The sequence below is a fragment of the Homo sapiens genome, chromosome 14, assembly GCF_000001405.40.
Source record: "Homo sapiens chromosome 14, GRCh38.p14 Primary Assembly".
NCBI classification, from domain to species: domain Eukaryota; kingdom Metazoa; phylum Chordata; class Mammalia; order Primates; family Hominidae; genus Homo; species Homo sapiens.
Genome location: NC_000014.9, coordinates 31845520 through 31871809, shown reverse-complemented (window position 1 = coordinate 31871809; position 26290 = coordinate 31845520). Strand labels below are relative to the sequence as shown.

At 38.1% G+C, this 26290-nt stretch overlaps 1 protein-coding gene across 8 annotated transcripts in view; it reads right to left on the bottom strand.

The window, feature by feature from the left end:
- Window positions 10586-26290, bottom strand: part of NUBPL (NUBP iron-sulfur cluster assembly factor, mitochondrial) — a 299821-nt gene continuing 284116 nt past the window's right edge. For all 8 annotated transcript variants that reach the window (NR_120408.2, NM_025152.3, XM_047431787.1 and 5 more), the window contains 3 exons: window positions 25219-25339; window positions 21609-21691; window positions 10586-12692 (listed from right to left, as the gene is read on the bottom strand). Coding sequence is in view for 7 of the 8 variants with exons in the window: in NM_025152.3 (NP_079428.2) it covers window positions 12630-12692; window positions 21609-21691; window positions 25219-25339 (267 nt within the window). In the remaining variant the exon portion in view is untranslated. The remainder of the gene's footprint in view (window positions 12693-21608; window positions 21692-25218; window positions 25340-26290) is intronic.

Sequence of the window (26290 nt, the reverse complement as noted above, 5' to 3'; positions counted from 1 at the left end):
CACTGTATCATTCTTATGCCTTTGTGTCCTCATAGCTTAGCTCCCACATATCAGTGAGAACATATGACATTTGGCTTTCCATTCCTGAGTTACTTCACGTAGAATAATAGTCTCCAATCTCATCCAGGTTGCTGTGGATGCTGTTAATTCATTCCTTTTTATGGCTGAGTAGTATCCCATCATGTATATATACTACAGTTTCTTTATCCACTCATTGATTGATGGGCATTTGGGCTGGTTCCACGATTTTGCAATTGCAAATTGTGCTGCTATAAACATGTGTGTGCAAGTATCTTTTTTGTATAAGGACTTCTTTTCCTTTGGGTAGACACGCAGTAGTGGGATTACTGGATCAAATAGTAGATCTACTTTTAGTTCTTTAAGGAATCTCCACACTGTTTTCCATAGTGGCTGTACTAGTTTACATTCCCACTAGCAGTGTAGAAGTGTTTCCTGATCACCGCATCCATGACAACATCTACTGTTTTTTGCTTTTTTGGTTATGGCCATTCTTGCAGGAGTAAGGTGGTATCGCATTGTGGTTTTGATTTGCATTTCCCTGATCACTAGTGATGTTGAGCATTTTTTCATATGTTTGGTGGCCATTTGTATGTCTTCTTTTGAGAACTCCCTTTTCATATCCTTAGCCCACTTTTTGATGGGATTGTTTTTTTTCATACTGATTTGTTTGAGTTAGTTGTAGATTCTGGATACTAGTCCTTTGTCAGCTGTAGAGATTGTGAAGGTTTTCTCCCAGTCTGTGGGTTGTCTGTTTACTCTGCTGACTGTTCCTTTTGCCATCCAAAAGCTCTTTAGTTTAATTAGGTCCCAACTATTTACTTCGTTTTTATTACATTTGCTTTTGGGTTCTTGGTCATGAAATCCTTGCCTAAGCCAATGTCTAGAAGGGTTTTTCCAATGTTATCTTCTAGAGTTTTTATAGTTTCCGGTCTTAAAGTCCTTACTCCATCTTGAGTTGATTTTTGTATAAGGTAAGAGATGAAGATCCAGTTTCATTTACCTACATGTGGCTAGCCAATTGTCCCAGGACCATTTGTTGAAAAGGGTGTCCTTTTCCCACTTTATGTTTTTGTTTACTTTGTCAAAGATCAGTTGGCTATAAGTATTTGGGTTTATTTCTGGGTTTTCTATTCTGTTCCATTGGTCTATGTGCCTGATTTATAACTATACCATGCCGTTTTGGTGACTATGGCCTTATAGTATAGTTTGAAATCAGATAGTGTGATGCCTCCAGATTTGTTCTTTTTGCTTAGTCTTGCTTTGGGTATGCAAGGTCTTTTTAGGTTCCATATGAATTTTAGAATTGTTTTTTCTAATTCTGTGAAGAATGATTGTGGTATTTTGATGGGGAGTGCATTGAATTTGTAAATTGCTTTTGGCAGAATGGTCATTTTCACAATATTGATTCTACCCACCCATGAGCATGGGATGTGTTTCCATTTGTTTATGTCATCTATGATTTCTTTCTGCAGTGTTTTGTAGTTTTCCTTGTAGAGGTCTTTTGCCTCCTTGGTTAGGCATATTCCTAAGTATGTTTTTTGTTTTTTTGGGTTTTTTTTGCAGCTATTGTAAAAGGGGTTGAGTTTTTGATTTGATTCTCCGCTTGGTCACTGTTGGTGTATAGAAGAGCTATTAATTTGTGTACATTAATCTTGTATCTGGAAACTTTGCTGAGTTCTTTTCTCAGTTCTAGGAGCTTTCTGGAGGAGTCTTAAGGGTTTTCAAGGTAAACAATCATATCGTCAGCAACAGTGACAGTTCGACTTCCTCTTTACTGATTCAGATGCCCTTTCTTTCTTTCTCTTGTCTGATTGCTCTGGCTAGGACTTCCAGTACTATATTGAAGAGGAGTGGTGAGACTAGGCATCCTTGTCTTGTTCCAGTTCTCAGAGGGAATACTTTCAACTTCTCCCTATGCAGTATTATGTTGGCTGTGGGTTTGTCACAGATGGTTTCTATTACATTGAGATATGTCCCCTGTATGCCGATTTTGCTGAGTTTTAATCACAAAGGGATGCTGGATTCTGTCTAATGGTTTTTCTGCATCTATTGAGATGATCATGTGATTTTTGTTTTTAATTTTGTTTACATGGTGTATCGCATTTATTGACTTGCATATGTTAAACCATCCCTGCATCCTTGGTATGAAACTCACTTGATCAGGGTGGATTATCTTTTTGATATGTTGTTGGATCTGGTTAGCTAGTATTTTGTTAAGAATTTTAGCATCTATGTTCATCAGGGATATTGGTCTGTAGTTTTCTTTTCTTTTTTTTTATTTTTATTTTATTTTTTTTTAATTATACTTTTAAGTTTTAGGGTACATGTGCACATTGTGCAGGTTAGTTACATATGTATACATGTGCCATGCTGGTGTGCTGCACCCACTAACTCGTCATCTAGCATTAGGTATAGCTCCCGATGCTATCCCTCCCCACTCCCACCACCCCACAACAGTCCCCAGAGTGTGATATTCCCCTTCCTGTGTCCATGTGATCTCATTGTTCAGTTCCCACCTATGAGTGAGAACATGCGGTGTTTGGTTTTTTGTTCTTGCGATAGTTTACTGAGAATGATGATTTCCAATATCATCCATGTCCCTACAAAGGACATGAACTCATCATTTTTTATGGCTGCATAGTATTCCATGGTGTATATGTGCCACATTTTCTTCATCCAGTCTATCATTGTTGGACATTTGGGTTGGTTCCAAGTCTTTGCTATTGTGAATAATGCCGCAATAAACATACGGGTGCATGTGTCTTTATAGCAGCATGATTTATAGTCCTTTGGGTATATACCCAGTAATGGGATGGCTGGGTCAAATGGTATTTCCAGTTCTAGATCCCTGAGGAATCGCCACACTGACTTCCACAAGGGTTGAACTAGTTTACAGTCCCACCAACAGTGTAAAAGTGTTCCTATTTCTCCAGTTTTCTTTTTTTGTTATGTCCTTTCCTGGTTTTGGTATTAGGGTTACACTAGCTTCACTGAATGCATTAGGGAGGATTTCCTCTTTCTCTATCTTGTGGAATAGTGAGAAAAGAATAGGTACCAATTCTTTGAATGTCTGATAGAATTTTGCTGTGAATCCATCTGGTCCTGGATTGTTTTAGTTGGTAATTTTTAAATTACCCTTTCAATCTCACTGCTTGTTATTGGTCGGCTAAGGGTATCTAATTCTTCCTGATTTAAGATAGGAGGGTTGTATTTTTCCAGGAATTTACACATCTCTTCTAGGTTGTCTAGTTTATATGCATAAAGCTGTTCATAGTAGCGTTGAATAATCTTTTGTATTTCCATGGTGTCAGTTGTAATATCTCCTGATTTGCTTCTTAATGAGGTTATTTGGATTTTCTCTCGTTTTCTTGGTGAATCTTGCTAATAGTCTTTCAATTTTATGTATCTTTTCAAAGAACCAGCTTTTAATTTCAGTTATGTTTTGTATTGTTTTTTGTTTCAGTTTCATTTAGCTCTGCTCTGATCTTGGTTATTTCCTTTCTTCTGCTGGGTATGGGTTTGATTTGTTCTTGTTTCTCTAGTTCCTTGAGATGTGATCTTAGAGTGTCAGTTTGTGCTCTTTCAGTCTTTTTGATGTAGGCGTTTAGGGCTATGGACTTTCCTCTTAGCACTGCCTTTGCTGTATCCCAGAGCTTTTGATAGGTTGTGTCATTATTGTCGTTCAGTTTGAAGAATTTTTAAATTTCCATCTTGATTTCATTTTTGACCCAATAATTATTCAGAAGCAGTTTATTTTATTTCCATGTATTTGCATGTTTTTGAAGGTTCCTTTTGGATTTGATTTCCAGTTTTATTCCACTGTGGTCTGAGAGAGTGATTGACAACATTTCAATTGTCTTACATTTATTGAGGCTCATTTTATGGCTTCTATCTTGGAAAAAGTTCCATGAGCTGTTGAATAGAATGTGTATTCTGTGCTTGTTGGATGAAATGTTCTGTATACATCTGTTAAGTCCCTTTGTTCCAAGGTACAGTTTAAATCCATTGCTCTTTGTTGACTTTCTATCTTGATGACCTGGCTAGTGCTTTCAATGGAATACTGAAGTCCTTCACTATTATTGTGTTGCTGTCAATCTTATTTCTTAGGTCTATTGGTAATTGTTTTGTAAATTTGGGAGCTCCAGTGTTAGGTGCAGATATGTTTAGGATTGTGATATTTTCTTACTGCACAAGGCCTTTTACTGTTATATAATGTCCCTCTTTGTCTCTTTTAACTGCTGTTGCTTTAAAGTTTGTTTTGTCTGACATAAGAATAGCTACCTCTGCTCACTTTTGATGTCCATTTGCATGAAATGCCTTTTTCCACCCCTTTACTTTAAGTGAGTCCTTATGTGTTAGGTGAGTCTCCTGAAGGCAGCAGATGGTTGGTTGGTGAGTTCTTATCCATCCTGCAGTTCTGTATCTTTTAAGTGGAGCATTTAGGCCATTTACATTCAATGTTAGTATTGAGATGTGAGGTACCATTCCATTCATCATGCTATTCGTTGCTTGTGTACCTTGTTTTTGTTTGTTTTTGCTTTTTAACTTGTAGTTTTGTTTCATAGGTCCTGTGAGATTTATGCTTTAAAGAGGTTCTGTTTTGATGTGTGTTTCCAGGATTAGTTTCAAGATTTAGAGCTCCTTTTAGCAGTTCTTGTAGAGGTGGCTTGGTAGTGGCAAATTCTCTCAGCATTTGTTTTTCCGAAAAAGACTGTACCTTTCCTTTATATATGATGCTTAGTTTTGCTAGATACAAAATTCTTGGCTGATAATTGTTTTGTTCGAGGAGGCTGAAGATAGGGCCCCAATCCCTTCTGGTTTGTAGGGTTTCTTCTGAGAAATCTGCTCTTAATCTGATAGGTTTTCCTTTATAGGTTACCTGTTGCTTTTGTCTCACAGCTCTTAAGATTCCTTCATCTTAACTTTGGCTAAAGTGATGACAGTGTGCCTAGGTGATGATCTTTTCGCAATGAATTTCCCAGGTGTTCTTTGTGCTTCTTGTATTTGGATGTCTAGGTCTCTAGCAAGGACTGGGGACGTTTTCCTCAATTATTCCCCCAAATATGTTTTCCAAACTTTTAGATTTCTCTTCTTCCTCAGGAACACTGATTATTCTTAGTTTTGGTCGTTTAACATAATCCCAGACTTCTTGGAGGGTTTGTTCATATTTTCTTATTCTTTTTTCTTTGTCTTTGTTGAACTGGGTTAATTCAAAGACCTTGTCTTTGAGCTCTGAATTTCTTTCTTCTACTTGTTCAATTTTATGGCTGAGACTTTCCAGAGCATTTTGCATTTCTGTAAGTTTGTCCACATTTTCCTAAAGTTTTGATTTTTTCTTTATGCTATCTATTTCCTTGAATAATTGTCCCATCACTTCTTGTATTGATTTTTGAATTTCCTTGCATTGGGCTTTACCTTTCTCTGGTGCCTTGCTTATTAGCTTAATAACTAACCTCCTGAATTCTTTTACAGGTAAATCAGAAATTTCTTCTTGGTTTGGATCCATTGCTGGTGGACTAGTGTGATTTTGGGAGGCGGGGGGGTGTTAAAAGCCTTTTTTTTTGGTCATATTACCAGAGTTGGTTTTCTGGTTCCTTCTTATTTGGGTAGGCTCTCTCAGAGGGAAGGTCTAGGGCTGAAGGCTATTCAGATCCTTTTGTCCCACGGTGTGTTCCCTTGATGTAGTACTCTCCCCCTTTTCCTATGGATATGGCTGCCTGTGAGCTAAGCTGCAGTGATTGTTATCTCTCTTCTGGATCTAGCCACCGAGCAAGTCTACCCAGCTCCAGGCTGGTACTGGGGGTTGTCTGCATAGAGTCCTGTGAAGTGAACCGTCTATGGGTCTCTCAGCTGTGGATGCCAGCTTCTGTTCCAGTGGAGGTGGCAGGGGGGTGAAATGGATTCTCTGAGGGTTCTTAGCTTTGGTGGTTTAATGTTCTATTTTTGTGCTGATTGGCCTGCTGCTGGGAGGTGGCACTTCCCAGAGAGCATCAGCTGTGGTAGTATGGAGAGGAACTGGCGATGGGCGGGGCCCTAGAACTCCCAAGGGTATATGTCCTTTGCCTTCAGCTACCAGGGTAGATAGGAAGGCCCATCAAGTTGGGGCAGGGCTAGGCATGTCTGAGCTCAGACTCTCCTTGGGCAGGTCTCGCTGTGGCTGCTATGGGGGATGGGGGCAAGGTTCCCAGGTTAGTGGAGTTGTGTACCTAGGAGGATTATGGCTGGCCTCTGCTGAGTCATGTAGGTTGTCAGGGAGGTAGGGGAAAGCCGGCAGTCACAAGCCTCACCCAGCTCCCAGACAATCCAAATGGCCGGTCTCACTCCCACTGTGCCCCCCGCAACAGCCCTGAGTCTGTTTCCAGGCAGTGGGTGAACAAGACTTGAGAACTTGCCTTGGGCTACCTGCCCCTAAGCTGAGAAAGAAAAGGGCTTGGCTCTTCTCCTACCTGTGGAGTCTGTACACCACATTCATACCCTCCCCTGAGTTATGGCCAGGAGGCTTCTTGCCCAGGTCAAATTGTTTCAAAGTTCAGCTGGAGATTTCCTTCTCCCTGTGGCATTTTCTCCTGTGCCTCTGGCCGCCCTCCCGATGGATCTCTGTGGTGACAGGCAGGAATGATTTGCTTGGGGACCCAGAGAACTCCAAGCACCTTTCCTGCTGCTTCCTCTACCCCTGTATTTCGCTTGGCTCTCTAAATTGACTCAGCTCCTGGTAAGGTTGGAGACTTCTCCCGCAAACAGACCTTCCGTTTCCCCAGTGAGGGTGATGTGTTTGGGAGAAGAGGATCTCTCTTTCCCACTTCCGCAGTCGGGACACTCACAATATTAGGGGTGTCTCCTGGGTCCTGCAGAAGCAGTTGCTTCCTTCAGAGGGTCTGTGGGTCTTATTGCAATTCCTGGTTTGTTCTTGCAGTCATTCTGGAGCTAAAATTCACAATGCGAGCCTCTGCACGCTGCTCTGTCCGTCTGAGTCTGAGGTGCAATCTAGTCCTGCCTCCTATCCGCCATGATGATCTTCCATTCAGGACATTCCCATTCACCTTTTGATGCATATTGGAGTTGTTTCCAGCTTTTGGATATTATAAACAAAGTTGATAGGAACATGTGTGTAAGTCTTCATGCAAATATGTGTCTGTTTTGTCTTGGGTAAATATCTAGGAGCATAATATTTAATTATAGGGTATGTGCATCTTTTAACTCTTTAAGAGTGTAACAGAACCAGGCATGGAGGCTTATGCGTGTAATCCTAACACTTTGGGATGCCAAGGTGAGAGACCTGCATGAGCCCAGGAGTTTGAAAACAGCCTGGGAAACAGAGAGATCCTGTGTCCAAAAAAAAAAAAAAAAAAAAAAAGCATGCCAGACTGTTTCCAAAGTGGTATTATTTTACATTCCCATTCCCACCAACAGGGTATGAGATTTCCAGGGGATCCACATCATCTTCAGCACTTCGTATTGCCAATCTTTTTAATCATAGCAATTTTAGTGGCTTTGTAGTGGTATTCCATTGTGGTTTTAATTTGCATCTCCCTAATGACTAAAAACATTGAGCATTTTCATGTTATTTGTCAATGATATCTCTTCTTTGGCGAAGTGTCTATTGAAATCCTTCACCCATTTTAAATTGGGTTGTCTTATTAATCAGTTGTACGTATTCTTTATATATTTTAAACTCTTCATCAGACATGTTTCACAAATGTTTTCTCCTAGTCTATAAATTGCCTTTGATTTTCTTAACTGTGTCTTTCAAACAGTTAAGTTTTAGTTTTGATGAAATACAAGTTATCTACTTTTTCTGTTATTGTTTAATCAGGATTTTTGTGTCTTATTTTTGCATAACTCAAGATCATGAAGATTTTCCTCTATGTTTTTCTTTTAGAAGTGTCATAGTTTTAGATTTTATATTTAGGTCTATGATCCATTTTGATGTGTTTTTATATCTAGAAGTTGGCAAAGTTTATTTCTTTGTAAAAAGATGTCTCATCATTCAAGCACAAGTGCTGGAAAGTCATCCATTCTCCAATGAATTGCTTTGGTACCTTTGTTGGAAATCAAGTTATCATATCTGTGTATGTCTGTTTCTGAACTCTGTCCCATGGATCTATATTTCTATCTTTACACCAATACCACATTGCCTTGATTACTGTAGCTTTATAATAAGTCTTCAGGCTGGGCACAGTGGCTCACACCTGTAATCCCAGCACTTTGGGAGGCCGAGGTGGGCAGATCACAAGGTCAAGAGATCAAGACCTTCCTGGCCAACATGGTGAAACTCCGTTTCTACTAAAAAATACAAAAATTAGCTGGGCGTGGTGGTGCATGCCTGTAGTCCCAGCTACTCAGGAGGCTGAGGCAGGAGAACCACTTGAACCCAGGAGGCGGGGGTTGCAGTGAGCCAAGATCGTGCCACTGTACTCCAGCCTGGCGACAGAGTGAGACTCCGTCTCAAAAAATAAAAAACAAAAAAACTCTTCAAATCAGGTGGTGTAAGTTCCTAAACTTTAATCTTTTTTTGTTCAAAATAATTTGGCTATTCTGGACACTCTAGTTACGTGAAAATGTTAGAATCAAGTTGTCAATTTCAGTAAGAGTCTTGTTGGATTTTGACAGAAATCACATTGGATATAGATCAATTTGGGGAGAATAGATATTTTAAACATGTTGAGTCTTCCAAACTTTGAACATGGTATGTCTCACCACCTAAATGTTTTCTTTGATTTCTTCATTAGTGTTTTGTAGTTGTCAGAATAACAGATTTTTTACATATCTTATTATATTTACATGTAAATATTTCATGGTTTTTTGGGTGCTATAAATCGAACTTTTTTCATTCAATTTCTAATTGTTTATTGCTAGTATACAGAAATAAAATTGGTTTTGTATGTCGACCTTGCATACTGCATCTCTGCTAAATCCATGTATTAGTTCTAGTTGCTTTTGTGTATATTATTTGGAATGTTCTCCATAGACAATCAATTTGTGTGTGAACAGAGATGGTTTTATTTCTTCCTTTCTAATCTATATGCCTTTATTTCTTTTTCTATTGCACTAGGAAAGACCTTAGGTATGATAATGAATAAAATGGTGAGCTTGGACAGCCTTGCAGTAGGTCTTTCACCATTAGCAATAATGTTAGTTGTAGTTCTTTGTTGATGCCTTTTATTAGGTTGAAAAAGTTGTTTTCTATTTCTAGTTTGCTAATTCTTATTGCAAATGAATGTTCAGTTTTGTTATATGCTTGGTCTATACCTATTCAAATAAACATGCTTTTTTTCTTTAGTCTGTTTTGCTTTACTGTTTCTTCTTGAATCTGCCATACATTGATTGATGTTCAAATGTTGAACCAACCTTGTGTTCCCAGGAAAATGACCTTGTAGTCATATGTATTATCCTTTTATATAATGCTGGATTCAATTAAGTAAGATTTGTTGAAGAATTTTCTGTCTATGTTTATGAGGAACATTTGTCTGTATTCTTCTTTTCTTGTATTGTCTTTGTCTTTGGTTTGCATATTAGGGTAATGCTGGCTTCACAAAATGAGTTGGAAAGTGCCCCCTCTATTTTCTGGTAAAGTTTGTGTAGAACTGGTATTATTCCTTCATTCAATGTTGGGTAGATTTTGACAGTAAAGGCATCTGGGGCTAGAGTTTTCTTTGTTGGTTCTTAACACAAATTATATTTTTAAAAGTAATTTATGACTACTCAGTCATAAATTATATTAAAGGAATATATCTATTCCATAAGTGAGCTTTGGTAGTTTCTTTCAAAGCATTTGTCTATTTCATCTAAGTCTTCAATTTAATGGGCATAAAGTTGTTTGTAATCTTTCTTATTGTCCTTTTCATGTCTGTAATAATGTCTCCTTTTCATTCCTGATTTGTTGATTTATGTCATCTTTCTTTCTCTCATTTCTTAATGAGCCTGGCTAAAGGTTTGCCAATTTTGTTCACCTTTTCAAAATATCAGTCTTTTATTTACACTCTACTGAGATGTGAAGAATGGAAAATAAATATCACTCCTTAACAAACAGGCAAACTACCTGTACTTCAGTCTACCTTTGGAGTTGGTGGCAAAATTTTAGAATAAGCTTAGTTCTTGTTTTATAGCTACTGTTCCTTCCTCCATGTCTAAACCTGCATATATATTCCAACCGCCATTTGTTTCAGTAGACTTCCTTGAAGCATCTGCAGACAACAGTCAAAAGAAGGAGGAGAAGAGGGCAGGGAATTTTATATGTGGATCTTCTCTCGGTCATGTATTTATGAGTAAAGACCACCTTTCCCATTTCCCTATGATATGTATTAAATGGTGACATACAACTTTAAGTCATTCTTTTTTGAAAAAAGTTAAGTTTGGTTTAAGTATTTTTTGTATTCACAAGTGCTCAATGATCATCTATATTTTCTTCTTCCTCAACAGACAATAAATACACAAAGAATATCTGAAACTTTAAGTCATTACTTCCTTCTCAGAGTGATATGATTACAGTGTGTCCACAAATAATTTTATTCATGATATTAATTAGTATAATTTGGTCCAGTAAATTTCAGTTCAGATATAGCAGTTTGTGTTTTTTTAACTTTTATTTTTATTTTGAGATAATTGTAGATTTACATGCAGTTGAAATAATACAGAGATTCCATGTGCCCTTCACCCAATTTCCCCCAGTGGTAACATCTTGCAAAACTATAGCACAATATCACAACTGGGATACTGACATCGATAGCTGTGATATAGAACATTTCCATCATCACAAGGATCCCTCATGTTTCTCACAGCCACGCCCAATTCTCTCCCATCCTCACCCCCTCCTTAACACAGCCACCACTAATCTGTTCTCCATTTCTATAATTATGTCACTTCAAGAACGTTATATAAATGGAATCTTTTGGTACAAAACCTTTTTAAATTGGCCTTTTTCATTCAGCATAATTCTCTGGAATTATAAGTTGCTGCCTGTACCCATAGTTTGTTCTTTTTTATTGCTGAGTAGCACTCACGGTATGAATGTACTATGGTTTGTTTAATCATTTACCCAATGAAGAAAATCTGGGTTGTTTTTGGTTATTACACATAAAATTGCAATAAACATCAATGTACATGTTTTTGTGTGAAAACATGCTTATAATAATGTGAAACTCTATGCCTAATTTTCTAGTTGACAACTGTAGAGCAACAGATGTCAAGACATTTGCCAAAAGTGACAGACCACTTCTTTATAAATGCGAATTAACTAATGGCTCACACTTATCAGTACTTGCAGCTTTAAAACTATCTGCTACCTGACTTTGAAAAGTCATTGACTCTATCTCTTTGAGCTTCAATTAGACAAGATAAATGTTTTTCAAAATGTATTATTTGAAATGTGAACTTCATGAAATGCTCTGAAAAAGGAGGGGGGTGGTGGATTTCATGGCCAAAAAAAGTTTGAGGAAATGCTAAATATTGCATCTCCCCCGACTTTTTTTTTTTTTTTTTTTTTTTTTGAGATGGAGTCGCACTCCATTGACCAGGCTGGAGTGCAGTGGTACAATCTCCACTCACTGCAACCTCAGCCTCCCGGGTTGAAATGATTCTCCTGCCTCAGCCTCCCGAGTAGCTGGGATTACAGGCATATGCCACCACACCCAGCTAATTTTTGTATTTTTAGTAGAGACGGGGTTTCACCATGTTGGTCAGGCTGGTCTTGAACTCCTGACCTCATGATCCACCCACCTCAACCTCCCAAAGTGCTGGGATTACAGGCGTGAGCCACCACGCCTAGCCACCACCGACTTTTTTTAATTAACAAAAGCACATTGGTGTACAAAAAGATGAATCTAATATCGAATTACTCAAGTTCAAATCCAAGCTCCATCACCTGCTAGATACAGTAACCCTCAGCAAGACACTCAAGGTTGAGTGCCTTCAAATTATATCTCAAATTACTTATCTGTAAAATGGAGATAATAGTACCCACTCACACAAATGGAAGAACAATTATAATTAACTTGTTAAATGTTAGCTATTATTCTTACTGCCATGATTACCAGAATCATCATCAACATCATCATGGTCTTACTAAAAATACATATGTTCAGGCTCCACTCCTGGAGACTGAAATTCATTAAGTCTGGGGTATAGTGTGATCCAGATGAAGAAGCAGAGGTTCATATTAAGAACATGTCCAAGACAGTACCAAAGACAGGATTCAAAGACAGTCCAAATTGCCTGGTGGGAAGGCGTAATACTTATGCCCATACACAAATTTAGTATATCATTTAAATTACTAATTCTGTGGTCCTGCAAAAAGTGTACAGTTCTCTCCCAAAATGGACTTGTAACATCATAAACTCGTGATTTCTAAAGGGGTAATTCAATAAAATAAAATGCAGTTCTTTGCAGGTGGTACACACCAGCTTTCAAAAAATTCCTAAATATAGCAGTTAACATTGATACATCAAAGTTTTGTGAACCTTAGCTTAGCAAGTCAAATATGAAGACATTCTTTCCTTAGAAATAAAACAGTTATGATTTCTATTATTTCTGTAGGTTCCATCACCACATTGCTGATTTCCAAAGGTCCTCTTAATGTCAGTACCAGGCAAATTTCCAGGACACTTGGGGAATCATTCTGAAGGTGATGGCAATCTTCTTACCACTTCCACAGCAATCCTCAAGTAAGCTTTGGCCTGGAAAAGAACAAACTTATTTGTTCTGTATTTCTCTTCAGCAGACATTGAATGACTCATCAACTGTTTGTTATAGAGGCCCACTGTATTTGATAGTAAAAAGGCTGAGTGAGATGAGGAAATTCAGTATTGAGAAGATAGTGCTGTATATATTGCAGGCGGCACAAGGAAGAAAGAATTTTAGATTATTTGGAGGGTAATTATTTGGAAGGTGACTCTGAAGTAATATTTAGTACCAGAAATTACTGTTTTTCAAATTCTAATTCTGGTGTCAGCAAACTAGCAACCCAGTCTAGTTGCAGAGAGATTACACCTTTTTGCTCTGAAAAATTGATATATTGAGTTAGAGACTGCCAAAACTTCTTTAGCATAAGAGCTGTTAGTCATTTTAAGGAGGACTATTTATTACCATGCTACAGTTTATCTTAGGAAAGCATTTTCTTCATCTCCCCGAGAATGGTGTGTAATACCAGCACCAAGCACCTATAGGCTCTTTCACCTGGTAAAAAATGGATATCATGCAAAAAATCCTAGTTCCATTGTTACACTCTTTATGTCTGGGATCCCAGTGTCATGGGACACTAACAGCAGCTCTTAAGCCACAGAGTGGGCCACAAGCTAACCTAATGCCTGCATGGTAATGATATTTGCATTTTAAGAGTTCCTTTAAATAAATGTAATGCAAAATTACTTATATCCTCTACTTTATTCATAAAAAGTAACTGTAGAACACAATAGTAAAATTTTCTAAAACCATTAATTTCTACATTGATAATTGATATGGTTTGGCTGTGTCCCCACCCAAATCTCATCTTCAATTGTAACTCCCACAGTTCCCATGTGTTGTGGAAGGAACCCAGTAGGAGGTGATTAAATCATGGGGTGGGTCTTTCCCATGCTGGTCTTGTGATAATAAGTCTCATGAGATCTGATAGCTTTAATAACAGGAGTCTCTCTCCACAAGCTCTCTTTTTGCCTGCCACCATCCATGTAAGACGACTTGTTCCTCCTTGCCTTTCACCTTCTTCCATGATTGTGATGCCTTCCTAGCCAGATGGAACTGTAAGTCCAATAAACCTCTTTCTTTTGTAAACTGCCCAGTCTCTGGTATGTCTTTATCAGCAGTGTGAAAACAAACTATTACGGTAAGTTGGTACCAGTAGAGTGTGGCGTTGCTGAAAAGATACCCGAAAATGTGGAAGTGACTTTGGAACTGGGTAACAGGCAGCAGTTGGAACAGTTTGGAGGGCTCAGAAGAAGACAGGAAAATGTGGAAAGTTTGGAACTTCCCAGAGACTTCAGTGGCTTTGACAAAAATGCTGATACTGATATGAACAATAAGGTCCAGGCTAAGATGGTCTCAGATGGAGATGAGGAAGTTGTTGGGAACTGAAGCAAAGGTGACTCTTGTTATGTTTTATCAAAGAGACTGGCGGCATTTTGTCCCTGCCCTAGAGATTTGTGGAACTTTGAATTTGAGAAAGATGATTTAGGGTACCTGGCAGAAGAAATTTCTAAGCAGCAAAGCATTCAAGAGGTTAAAGGTATTCAGTTTTATAAGGGAAGCAGAGCATAAAGGTTTAGAAAATTTGCAGCCTAACACTGTGATAGGAATAGAAAATCCCATTTCCTGAGGAGAAATTCAAGCCTGCTGCAGAAATTTGTATAAGTAACTAGGAGCCGAATGTTAATCCCCAAGACAATGGGGAAAACGTCTCCAGGGCATGTCAGAGGTCTTCATGGCAGCCTCTCCCATCACAGGTCTGGAGGCCTAGGAGGAAAATATAATTTTTCTGGGCTGGGCCCAGAGTCCCCGTGTTGTGTGGAGACTAGGGACTTGGTGCCCTGCTCCTCAGCTGCTCCAGCCATGGCTGAAAGGGGCCAATGAAGAGCTCAGGCCATGGCTTCAGAGGGTGAAGCGAGCCTCAAGCCTTGGCAGCTTCCACATGGTGTTGAGCTTGTGGGTGCACAGAAATCAAGAATTGAGGTTTGGGAACCTCCACCTAGATTTCAGATGTATGGAAATACCTGGATGCCCAGGCAGAAGTTTGCTGTAGGGGCGAGGTCCTTACGAAGAACCTCTGCTAGGGCAGTGCAGAAGAGAAATGTGGGGTCAGAGCCCCCAGAGTCCCTACTGGGGCATGACCTAGTGGAGTTGTGAGAAGACAGTCACCATCCTCCAGACCCCACAATGGCAGATCCACTGACAACTTGTACAGTGTGCCTGAAAAAGCTGCAGAAACTCAACGCCAAACCATGAAGGCAGCCGGGAGGGAGGCTATACTCTGCAAAACTACAGGGGCAAAGCTGCCCAAGACTATGGGAACTCACCTCTTGCATCAGCGTGACCTAGATGTGAGACATAGAGTCAAGGGAGATAATTTTGGAGCTTTAAGCTTTGACTGTCCCACCAGATTGCAGACTTGCATGGGGCCTGTAGCCCCTTTGTTTTGGCCAATTTCTCCCATTTAGAACAGCTGTATTTACCCAATGCCTGTACCCCCACTGTATCTAGGAAGTAACTAACTTGCTTTTGATTTTACAGGCTCATAGGCGGAAGGGACTTGCCTTGTCTCAGATGAGACTTTGGACTGTGGACATTTTAATTAATGCTGAAATGAGTTAAGACTTTCGGGGACTGTTGGGAAGGCATGATTGGGTTTGAAATGTGAGGACATGTGATTTGGGAGGGGCTGGGGTGGAGTGATATGGTTTGGCTGTGTCCCCACCCAAATCTCATCTTCAATTGTAACTCCCACAATTCCCATGTGTCATGGGAAGAACCTGGTGGGAGGTGATTGAATCATGGGGTGGGTCTTTCCCATGCTGTTCTCATAACAGTGAATCTCATGAGATCTGATAGCTTAAAAAAAATGGGAGTCTACTTGCACAAGCTCTCTTTTTGCCTGCCGCCATCCATGTAAGACATGACTTGTTCCTCCTTGCCATTCACCTTCCTCCATGATTGTGAGACCTCCCTAGCCACATGGAACTGTAAGTCCAATAAACCTCTTTCTTTTGTAAACTGCCCAGTCTCTGGTATGTCTTTATCAGCAGTGTGAAAACAAACGAATAAAATAATATGCTTACAGTTATATATTTATATACAACTAATGAAAACAGCTAAGATTTACTGAGTACTTAATATTTGCCAAGTGTTATTTATCTTCACAGTTACTCTGGGGGTAAATTCTATCATTATCCCGACTTTACAGATAAGGAAACATCCAGAAAGGTAAATAATTTTGTCAAAAACATTATAGCTAGTAAGAGATGAGCTGGGCTTTGAACCTAAGCTGACCAATTCCCAGACTCTGCACAGTAAAAAGAGATGTTTGTGGTCCATTTGCCCTGACTTGATGAAGTGCTTTAAGAGTGTTTCGCATGTCTTCATTTTTAAAGACTATGCTTGAGCCCTAACAGCTAAATCATGATTTATTTTACCAGAAAAGTATTAAAAGTCATTTTAAGAGAGTCCTTAAAAAAAAAAAAAACTCTAAAAACATGAATAAGGCTTTAAATGTTTTTATTGAGTACCTACTATACCAAGTACTTCATGTAAATAATCTCACTTAGACACGTAAAACAAGCATCATCAGCTTAACTTGGATGATGAAACCAGGAGTTATTTGCTCAAGGTCATGAAGTCAGGCTGGAAAACCTTCAAACCTGGGTCCAACTGACTCTAAAGTCCAGCTTTTTCCACTACACCACATGTTAAACAGTAAACCCAAATACAAGTAATTATAATCATAAAGCATAGTCTAAAAATGGGTTCTTCTCTGCTGTAGTTAACAGAAACAATAGTTTTTGTTTATAAATAGAAATAACATCTACTTATAAAGAAAGGTTTCTCTCAAATCAAATGTGCTGATTTTCACCCATACATCTTTATAAATACCTTTTATCTCCTAGTAGCTTTTCTAGGTACTTATGCCTAATATTTTGTGATGAAAATTTAAAGTTCACTAAAGCAAGATGAGACAAGGCCATCATTCTGTAATCTTTTAGTATTTATCTACATTAGAGACATAAACCTATCAGAATACAAAAAATACTGAATAATTCCAGAACAATCAAATTGGCTACATTTAACCTTTCCTTTTTAATGGACTATCTCCAAACTTTGACTTCTAATATATCACATTCAAAGTAATAGATTGTCAGTTGCTGAGAAACCACTGAAAGTGCTTAGTTTAACAGTTTCAATTTCTCAAAAACTGTTGAGGCTAAATTTTTTAGCCAGTGCAGTTTTATTTCAACAAATACATTTTGGTTTGTATTGCGTGCAAGGCATTGTGTTGGGAAATCTGTGGTGTGTAATGATATAAAAGAGGGGCAGAACAGTTCATTGGTGAAGAGTTGGGGCCTTGAAGTCAGACAGCCATGGTTTAGAATGTTGGCTTTATTACTTACCAGCTGTGAGGCTTTGGGCAAGTTACTCAACCCTTCTAGGCTCAGTTTCCATATCTGTAAACTGGTTATAATAATTATATCTAGCTCAAAGCATTTTCGGAGTATTAAGTGAGAATATGGCATGTGAATTGTTGGTACAGAGGAAGCATATAATAAATATCTGTAGCTGCTGTTATTATCATTATAGTCTCAAGAAATTTATAATCTCATTGAAGAACTCATATGAACATGTCCTTTGGGCACTGTTCCCACCTGAGGAATAATTAAATCAAATCTATCTTTCTTTTGTTTAATCCATAACTAGCAAAAAAGTAACACACACACATATCATATGTAAAGGACATAACTGAGATAACTCAAACTATTAATACTCTCTTCTTTCATCAACTCTACACAGACTAACCCTTTTCTCCTATTCAAGATCTTTTTGTTAGGTCATCTAGAGGCACAGATAATACAGTTGGACCCTACTGTCCGCTATGCCATTAACTAGCAACAGGGAATGAATGGTAACCAAAGTGCACAAAGGTCTTTTCCTTTGTTTTTGTTTTTAAATATTTGAAGTCCCAATTTATCATACACAGTCATTTCATATTAAGATTGTGAGGTGATAATTTAGAAATTGTAAGAAAATAAAGTTCCCACTAATATTTGAAAGTCTTTACCAGGAATATCTTATAGCACATCTTTCTGTAGCTAATATTCTTACTTGATAAAAAGGATAAAACCACAATGTTATCAGCTAATCACAGGTCCATTCCTTGTATTCTGGTCTTAATCAAGAGCAGAAGGTAGTTTTAATTGCATCAACAGTATTAATCATACCAGCATGCGGGGATGCTATTGAATTTAGGGGTTCTGAATTCTAAATATCGCCTTCTCACCCCTCCTCTATTGTTTTCTTTGGCTGCTTTACACTAGTCACATTTGGAGTCTTACTTGCCTTTCCTAAGTGGTGTACATGTGCAGAAGGTTTTGCCCATTGTCTGAGCAAGCAGCAGACTATTAGTACTTTTTAATTGGTACTAACAGCTCTTCCAACATTTCCAATGATGTCTTAAATTCACCACAATTCATATCTTTAAATTAATCACTACCTTTTTAGTGTTTGCCTCTTCTGAAAGTTAAATGTTACTGGGAGAGTTAAATCCTCAGTGTGTAATTCTAAAGGATTTTGTGGGCAGAGAATAAGAGCCCTAACACCTGGTGCTGGGAGGATGGAGTGATAGAAAATGGAGAAGGTGGAGTAAGAAGGAAGACAAAAAGCTAACGATTAAACGTTTACTGATTTATAATCGTGCCTATGAGTCAACCCCTAAAAGTAAACAATAAAAAGTATCAGTCTAGGCCAGGTGTGATGGCTCATGTCTGTAATCCCAGCACTTTGGGAGGCTAAAGCAGGTGAATCTCCTGAGCTCAGGAGTTTGACACCAGCCTGGGCAACATGGTGAAACCCCATCTCTACCAAACACACAAAAAATTAGCTGGATGTGGTGGTGTGAACCAGTGGTCCCAGCTACTTGGGAGGATGAGATCGTGCCACTGCACTCCAACCTGGGTGACAGAGTAAGATCCTGTCTCAAACAAAACAAAACAAAACAAAACAAAACAAAACAAAACACAACACAACACAACAGTATCAGTCTAAAGTGGATAATTAACAAATAACATTATAGGTTTTGCCCCATTAACTTCTGCAGAAGTTTTATCATGTTGGCAAATAAACACTTCCTTCATTCTTTAAATGAAGACATGCAGGCAGAATAGGTATTATGCTTCTATGAATACAACAGAATCTGGTGAGAGCGTTGTGACTAGTTTCTAAGAGCACATTTCTATTTGAGTTCACGGGGGAAAGGGAAGGAGGCTTTCAGGAGGCAAGATTCATCACAAGACTAACTGGAGGATTCTGATCCTAGGCCTCAATCACAGCTTCTTAGTGTCTAGGAGTTAATGTCTTTGATGTTGAAGCTGGGAATTCTTCTCTCATGATTCAAATGCTGCTACCCTGATTTTTTTATTTTTATTTTTTGACGGAGTTTTGCTCTTTTTGCCCAGGCTGGAGTGCCATGGCGTGACCTCGGCTTACTGCAACCTCCGCCTCCCAGGATGAAGTGATTCTCCTGCCTCAGCCTCCCAAGTAGCCGGGATTAGAGGTGTGTGCCACCACGCCCAGCTAATTTTTGTATTTTTACTAGAGACGGGGTTTCACCATGTTGGCCAGGTTGATCTCAAACTCCTGACCTCGTGATCTGCCCGCCTCAGCCTCCCAAAGTGCTGGGATTACAGGCGTGAGCCACCGTGCCGGGCCTACTTTGATTTTTAAATAACATCAAAGAGTGATATTTACTTGATACCACGTCAAGGACACTAAGTGGACTCAGCTCTTTAGCAAAGGGAAGAGGAGAGACATTTAGTGTCATGACATCTTATACAGGCAGTTTCAGAAGGTAAATACAGTTATATTCTACTTGGCATTTTTCAAGGTATTTTCACATTATTATTTCATTTATTCTTTCTCATCTTCCTCATTATGACATCAATTTATAGATGGAGAGAAAGGTTCAGAGAGGTTAGAAAACTTGCTTTAGGTCACACATCGAAAGTGGCAAACTTGGTACCCCATGATGACTCAGATTTAGTGCTCTTCCTGCCATGCAGAGATCCCCTTCGAGAATCTAACAAAGCTATTTAGAGTATTAAATCATATTATCTTTGGATGGTGGCTATATGTTCTCTGTTATATTACATTCCTCTAACTTCAATGAAATGTTTCTTACTTCTGGAGGATTTCAAAGAAAAAATAATGAACAGGTGAAAACCATAATAAAAATCTAAACTCTTAATTGAAATACACTGATAAGAAATTATTCTTATTCACTAGGAATCACTGTGAAATGTCTTTATAGTCTGTTCTCAGGAGGCACTTAAAAGTGTGTAATTAAAGCAAAAAAAACCCTCAATTTTCAAAGAACTTTTTCATATATTGCATAAAGTACAGCTATGGTAGTTGGGATTGGCAGACTTTAATTACCAAGATGATAAAGGATTATGGTTTTTTGCTTAGCTGAAAAATTGTTGAGAAAGACTGAAAAGGAAATTTAACATTTAATACCTAAAAGACAGAGAAGAGAAAAATAATGGTAACTGTTATACCATATCTACTCAGAGATCATATCGCCAGCAAAACAATCACCTATACCATAGCTGCTGACTCTTAAGAAAAGGAAAGGACCTCTAAACGCAGAAAACAGATCACTCAAAATGAATATACTTTACTCATCCAAGATTACTGTTCATTTACTCTTACTTTACAGCTCTAACCAAACTTGGCTCCTTTATTTTCCAATTCACAGAAGGTTAAAGGAAGCAAACTAGAATATAAAGAACAGCAGTTATGTTTGGAAAAAATACCAGTACTGTAAAGCTATACCCATTAGTTAAGGAAAAGAAAAAAAAAAAAAAAGAAAAACTATTAGAAGATTGATTGGGGCTGTTCAACAAAGGAACAACATCTGAACTGATGTGCCAGATGATGATTCAGTTTCCAAGTTAAATAGCAAGTGTTATTTAGGAAAGAAAAAATATGTATGATTAATTTTATTTCTATTTTTAAAAAGATTAAAATATTTTATGCTTAAAGATTTTATGTGGCAGTAATTTTGAAAATCTATCAACTATATCTCCAACTATGTTGGCTAATGAAACACTACTAGTCTTTTCACCTCACCTTCCCAGTTATATTTATTAAAATAAATGCAATGAAAATTTCATCTCTAGGCTGGGCATGGTGGCTCATGCCTATAATCTCAGCATGCTGGGAGGCCAAGATGGGAGGATAACTTGAGTCCAGGAGTTCGAGACCAACCTGGACAACATAGTGAGACCCTGTCTCCATAAAAAAAAAAATTAGCAGGGCATGGTGGTGTACACCTGTGGTCCTAGCTACTCGGGAGGGGAGGGTGAGATGCGAAGATTGCTTGAGCATGGGAAGTCAAGGCTGCAGTGAGCTGGGATCGCACAATTGTACTCCAGCCTGGGTGACAGAGCAAAACCCTGTCTGAAGAAAAAGGAAAGAAAAAAAAATCCCACCTCTAATGGTTTACACAATTGCCTTATATCCAATTCAATACTTTCTTGCATTAGGCTTCCTTCTCCAATCAGTTGAACTTCTAATACTGAAATATAATAATCTTGGGCAGTTAGATATTGCTAGCCAGCAATATAAGAATTTTACAAACTCTCTTTTCACGCTTTTCTTGAGAAAACTGGTTGGGTGATGATTCTCTGTAGGTAAACTTGTTTAGATGATAATTTAGAGCCAGCACTGGAAGCTTACTGTACATGACAGTAACTTAAAGATGCTTTGGACAAGTTAAATAATCCTTGTTTAAATATATATGCACTGCAAATATAAACGCTTAATCTTCCCAACTTTCTTTCTGTATTTCAAAAGTACATAAAAAGAAATAAAAATATGTATCCAAAAATGGAACTTACCTCATCACTTTCAGGCTGTGAAAACACAATTGGCTGGCCTGTATCTGAAGCTTCCCTTATATTAAGGTGTAAGGGAATGTCTCCTAAAAGAGCCCAGCAGACATCCATTAGAACCAGAAAAGTTCATATAGGCATTTTGAATCTCACTATTTGAACTATGGAAAGAAACAAAATCGGAACTAAATTGATTCAAATTGACTATCTTCTAATTGCTAAATCTTTGAAAAAGAAATTTCAAATGGGAATTACAAACAAGATACTCTATTTTAGAGTAGTACAGTGATTGTATGTTTATATAGGAAAGCTCTGTGGCACCACATCAAGGTATGAGGCCTCTGATTTATTCTTTGCTGGAAGTCTCCAAGCAAGCAATGGCTTGGAAGACATTTGCAAATGATTTCTCCCATTAATATCTGATATAGACACATCATGCCACATAATAAGAGGAAACTGAAGAGAAAAATATGGGGAGGCAAAGTAGTTCAAAAAAAAGTACAACAAAATAACCTTCCTGATGTTGGCAAATGGAGTGAGCTCAAAGAACTGGTCAAAAGTAGGCCAGACCTGTTATCTCAACTATCTGTCTCTTTATCAGACAGAATTATTTTTCTCTTATTATTTACTAACCTATGTAGCACCATATATAACTTGTGAGCTTGGTGAGATCTCAGCAAGTATATGATAAGAACCTCCAAAATACAGACTGAGATGGGAGAGGTGTGTTTTCTTGAGGACACATTACTATTAGGCAGTGGAATTTAGGAGCTGACCTAAATTCTGACCCCTCATCCAATATACTCTTTCCAGCACACTATCACAAATGAAGTCTATCAAGACTGAGATTTAAAGCACAGTGAGTGGAGTCTTAAGCGGAAAAGTTGACTTGCCATGGTACTTAGCGTTCTCAGAACCACTCCAAATCCATGCAAAAGTTATTAAAACATACGTGTATGTGGTGCTTTATTCAAATAAGTCATTTAGCACCATGTCAGGAAATTTAAATAATGAAGTATATGTTATAAAAATATTACAGTATATACTATGAAGTACATGGAAAAGTAAATGTTATTTCATGATCCTCTTGTCAAATGCTGTGATCTTAAACTATAAGTCCTCAATATCCAACGGCCAAATGACAAATACATGATATTTTAGTAACCATTTAAGGATCAGCTTTTCATTAAATTTGATTCCTATTCTCTAGATCAACTTCGGACTATAGGAAACTGTCACAGGAGCAAGCAGCAAAAATGTTATAGAAAATGCTTAGAAATGAAATTTTTTTCCTCTCAATTTATGAACTGTCATTCTAGTAAAGAATCATGAAGGATTTCTTTTCTACTGCAGAAATGGAAGGTAAAAGAGTAAAACCTTCACCTTTATATAGCCATCTATTGACATCATTTCTGCTCTCCAGATACTCACAATCCTACCTACAGACACAGAAGATTAGACCAAGAAGGGGAAAAATCTTGTTAAAAATAGGTGCGTAGTAAGAATGGTAATGGGCTAATTGTTGTATCTAGACAGGGATTTTTAAAAAGTAAAAGTGAGTGAGGAGCAGTCTGAGCCTGAGAAGTATTTTTGAGGTGCTAAGTCTGAAAGAAATGAGGAAACATTTCAGACATATAATAGGTTAAAGGGTTTTCTGTGAGATGGTCTGAGACCTTAACTACTATGCATAAACTGTCCCTGTAGGTAAATACAGATAAGGTTCTCAAGAGCTATCGTACCAAATAATCATTTAAAACACGACCCACTGAATTAAGAGTCTGCCAGGGAGTCAGTAAAGGACAAATAAGGGTTCCCAGGAGGTTCAACTGGCCAAGAGGCCAGAGCTGTGAAAGCTTTTTCCCTGATTTCAGTTCCTCATTCCCAATTCCAACCTCTTCATAATTGAAGCCCTGCTCCACTTCATGGGAGACACCATGGGACCCATGACTACATTAAAAGGAGGGGACGTGCCCTAACGAGGAATTCTAAATGATTTTTCCCCTAACACTGTCAGACATAGCAGTCTAGGGCACCATCAAATTTTTGTGATCAGTAGTCAGTGTTTTTGATACATTTTTAGGGTAATTGTACATCTGTGAGCCATTGGTTAAAATGTAACTTCCATACATACCATTGTTTCTCAATGAAATGTTTCAAATTCTAAATAACTGACTTAGGAAATTGTTCAGCTCATTTGTAAGTTAGGAAATTACAATGTTGTCAGTATAATTCAATAATGCCATTATAATTACACATTTACTTTATTATATAAGCGAATGTCAATCTGTTATTATGCAGATTTGGAAAATTGAACTTTCTGGGTTAAATGAAAAACAGTTGCAGAATATAATTAGTGGCTATAATTATAGCAATGTATCAAAATATATCATTAGTATTCACCTGGTATTGTAGTGGCTGCTATAGTGCAAATGCATAACAATAATATATTTAACATCAACTTTTAGAAACTTAATTATAACAGAGAATGTTTTGAAATTCCTTAATCTCTAGGGATCTTAATTTTTAACTACCTAAGTCTAATAATTCACTTTATGCCTTCCCTATTCAGCATCTAACACCTGCCTTTGGCAAGAACAGAAACCCATTCACAATTAGAATATCAAAACATGTTTTCTAAAAAGTCTGTTAAGTTGCCTGTGGATTTTTGGAACATCATGTTTTATCCAAAACCTGTGTTTTGCTTATTTAACACATGATTTTAGTTTTCCTCACAGCACTAATGAACTCTTCAGTTCAGTGCCATGAACAGTGCGTACAATGTAAATTTCAGGTGCCATATTTTAAAGACATATCAAACACATTAAATATTACAGAAAACAGTAAATACTGCCATTCTAAAGCAGAAAGACTAACAAAGAATTAATCAGGAAGGCATTTTTACATATGCACTAAGAACGAACACTTTTAGAGGTTTTTACAACATACGGAACAGACATTTTAATGTACCTGTTTCTACTGAGAGATGTACACCCAACTTAGCAAACACACTGATGAGTATCATTTAAAATATGGCTTCAAATTACAGTACTTGGACTACAAAACTCTATTCTCAAATTTAAGTTATAGACAGTTTTTATTTAAAATAGAAATTATCATAGTTGACAGAACAAACCTATTCAAAAAAGCCAAAGAAAGGTTAACACATAGAACTGTGCTATATTAATTTAAAACACAAAGCCAAAAGCAACTCATCATTTTCAGAGACACTGTTTTTTGTTTTTTGTTTTTTTTTTGATGGAGTCTCACTCTGTCACCCAGGCTGGAGTGCAGTGGTGCTATCTCAGCTCACTGCAAGCTCCGCCTCCAGGGTTCATGCCATTCTCCTGCCTCAGCCTCCTGAGTAGCTGGGACTGCAGGCGCCCGCCACCACGCCTGGATAATTTTTTGTATTTTTAGTAGAGACAGGGTCTCACCATGTTAGCCAGGATGGTCTCGATCTCCTGACCTCGTGATCTGTCCACCTCGACCTCCCAAAGTGCTGGGATTACAGGTGTGAGACTCCGTGCCCGGCCTCTGAGACACTCTTAATCATCAAGCCTCATCCCCACTTTCTCTTCTGCCACTTCTTCTACAAAAGAACATCCCACAGTCTTACCTAGAACTTCAAGACCAAGGGTCTGTGCTAGTTTCCTTGCACCATCAGCACCAAAAATATGAGTTTTGTGTTTACATTTTGGACACTGGAAAACACTCATGTTTTGGACAAGGCCAAGGACCTAGAATAAAAACACACTGAAATCAAAATAAAATTAAACCAAATATTAATACATTACTTCAACAAATTTTTACAGAGTGCCTACTGAGTTCTAGTGGCACTCATCAATGTTATCACAATGATGAATAAACTATGGCCTCTGCTCTGAAGGAACTCATGAGCTAGTAAGAGAGCAAGACATATAGAATTACCTTTGATATCATAATAAATGCTAAAAAGAGATGAATGAACAGGAACCAAAAATTCTGCCTAGAAAGAAGAGAAATCTTTGAGTTTCCCATAGACAGTTGTTTCTTCAGGTTGTGGGGTGATGAGGAGGTGAGGCCCACAGCAGGAATTCTAGACAGAAGGAAGACAACAAGCCAAGGTAGCAAAATAAAACTGTGTGGCCTACTTGGGCTGCAACCCAGTGGGTGGTCAAGGCAGAAGATGGTTTGGGAAGGAAGGCTAGGGCCACGTGGGAAGATGCTGAATACCATCCATGTATTTGAGGCATTCCTCTTCAGACAACAGGAAACCACTAAAGGTTTTCAAAGCTGAAAAGATGGTATCAAAGAGGTAGTTATACAATCAGATTTTTGTTTTAGAAATTTATCTTTGATGACAATTTGGAGAAAAATAAGAAGGGAGGAACAGAGGAAAATAAATACCTAAGAGGTAACTTTGGACGAAGTCTCACAGTAAATCTAAAATAACGAAGTGTTTGTTGTATGCCAGGTGCTGGGTTAAGTACTTTAAATGTACTATCTTATTTACTCTTCACAAGAACTTTATGAGATGGTTATTTTGTTTTTTGTTTTGTTTGTTTCTGAGATGGAGTTTCGCTCTTGTTGCCCAGGCCGGAGTGCAATGGCGCGATCTCGGCTCACCGCAACCTCCACCTCCTGGGTTCAAGTGATTCTCCTGCCTCAGCCTCCCGAGTACCTGGGATTACAGGCGTGCACCACCACAC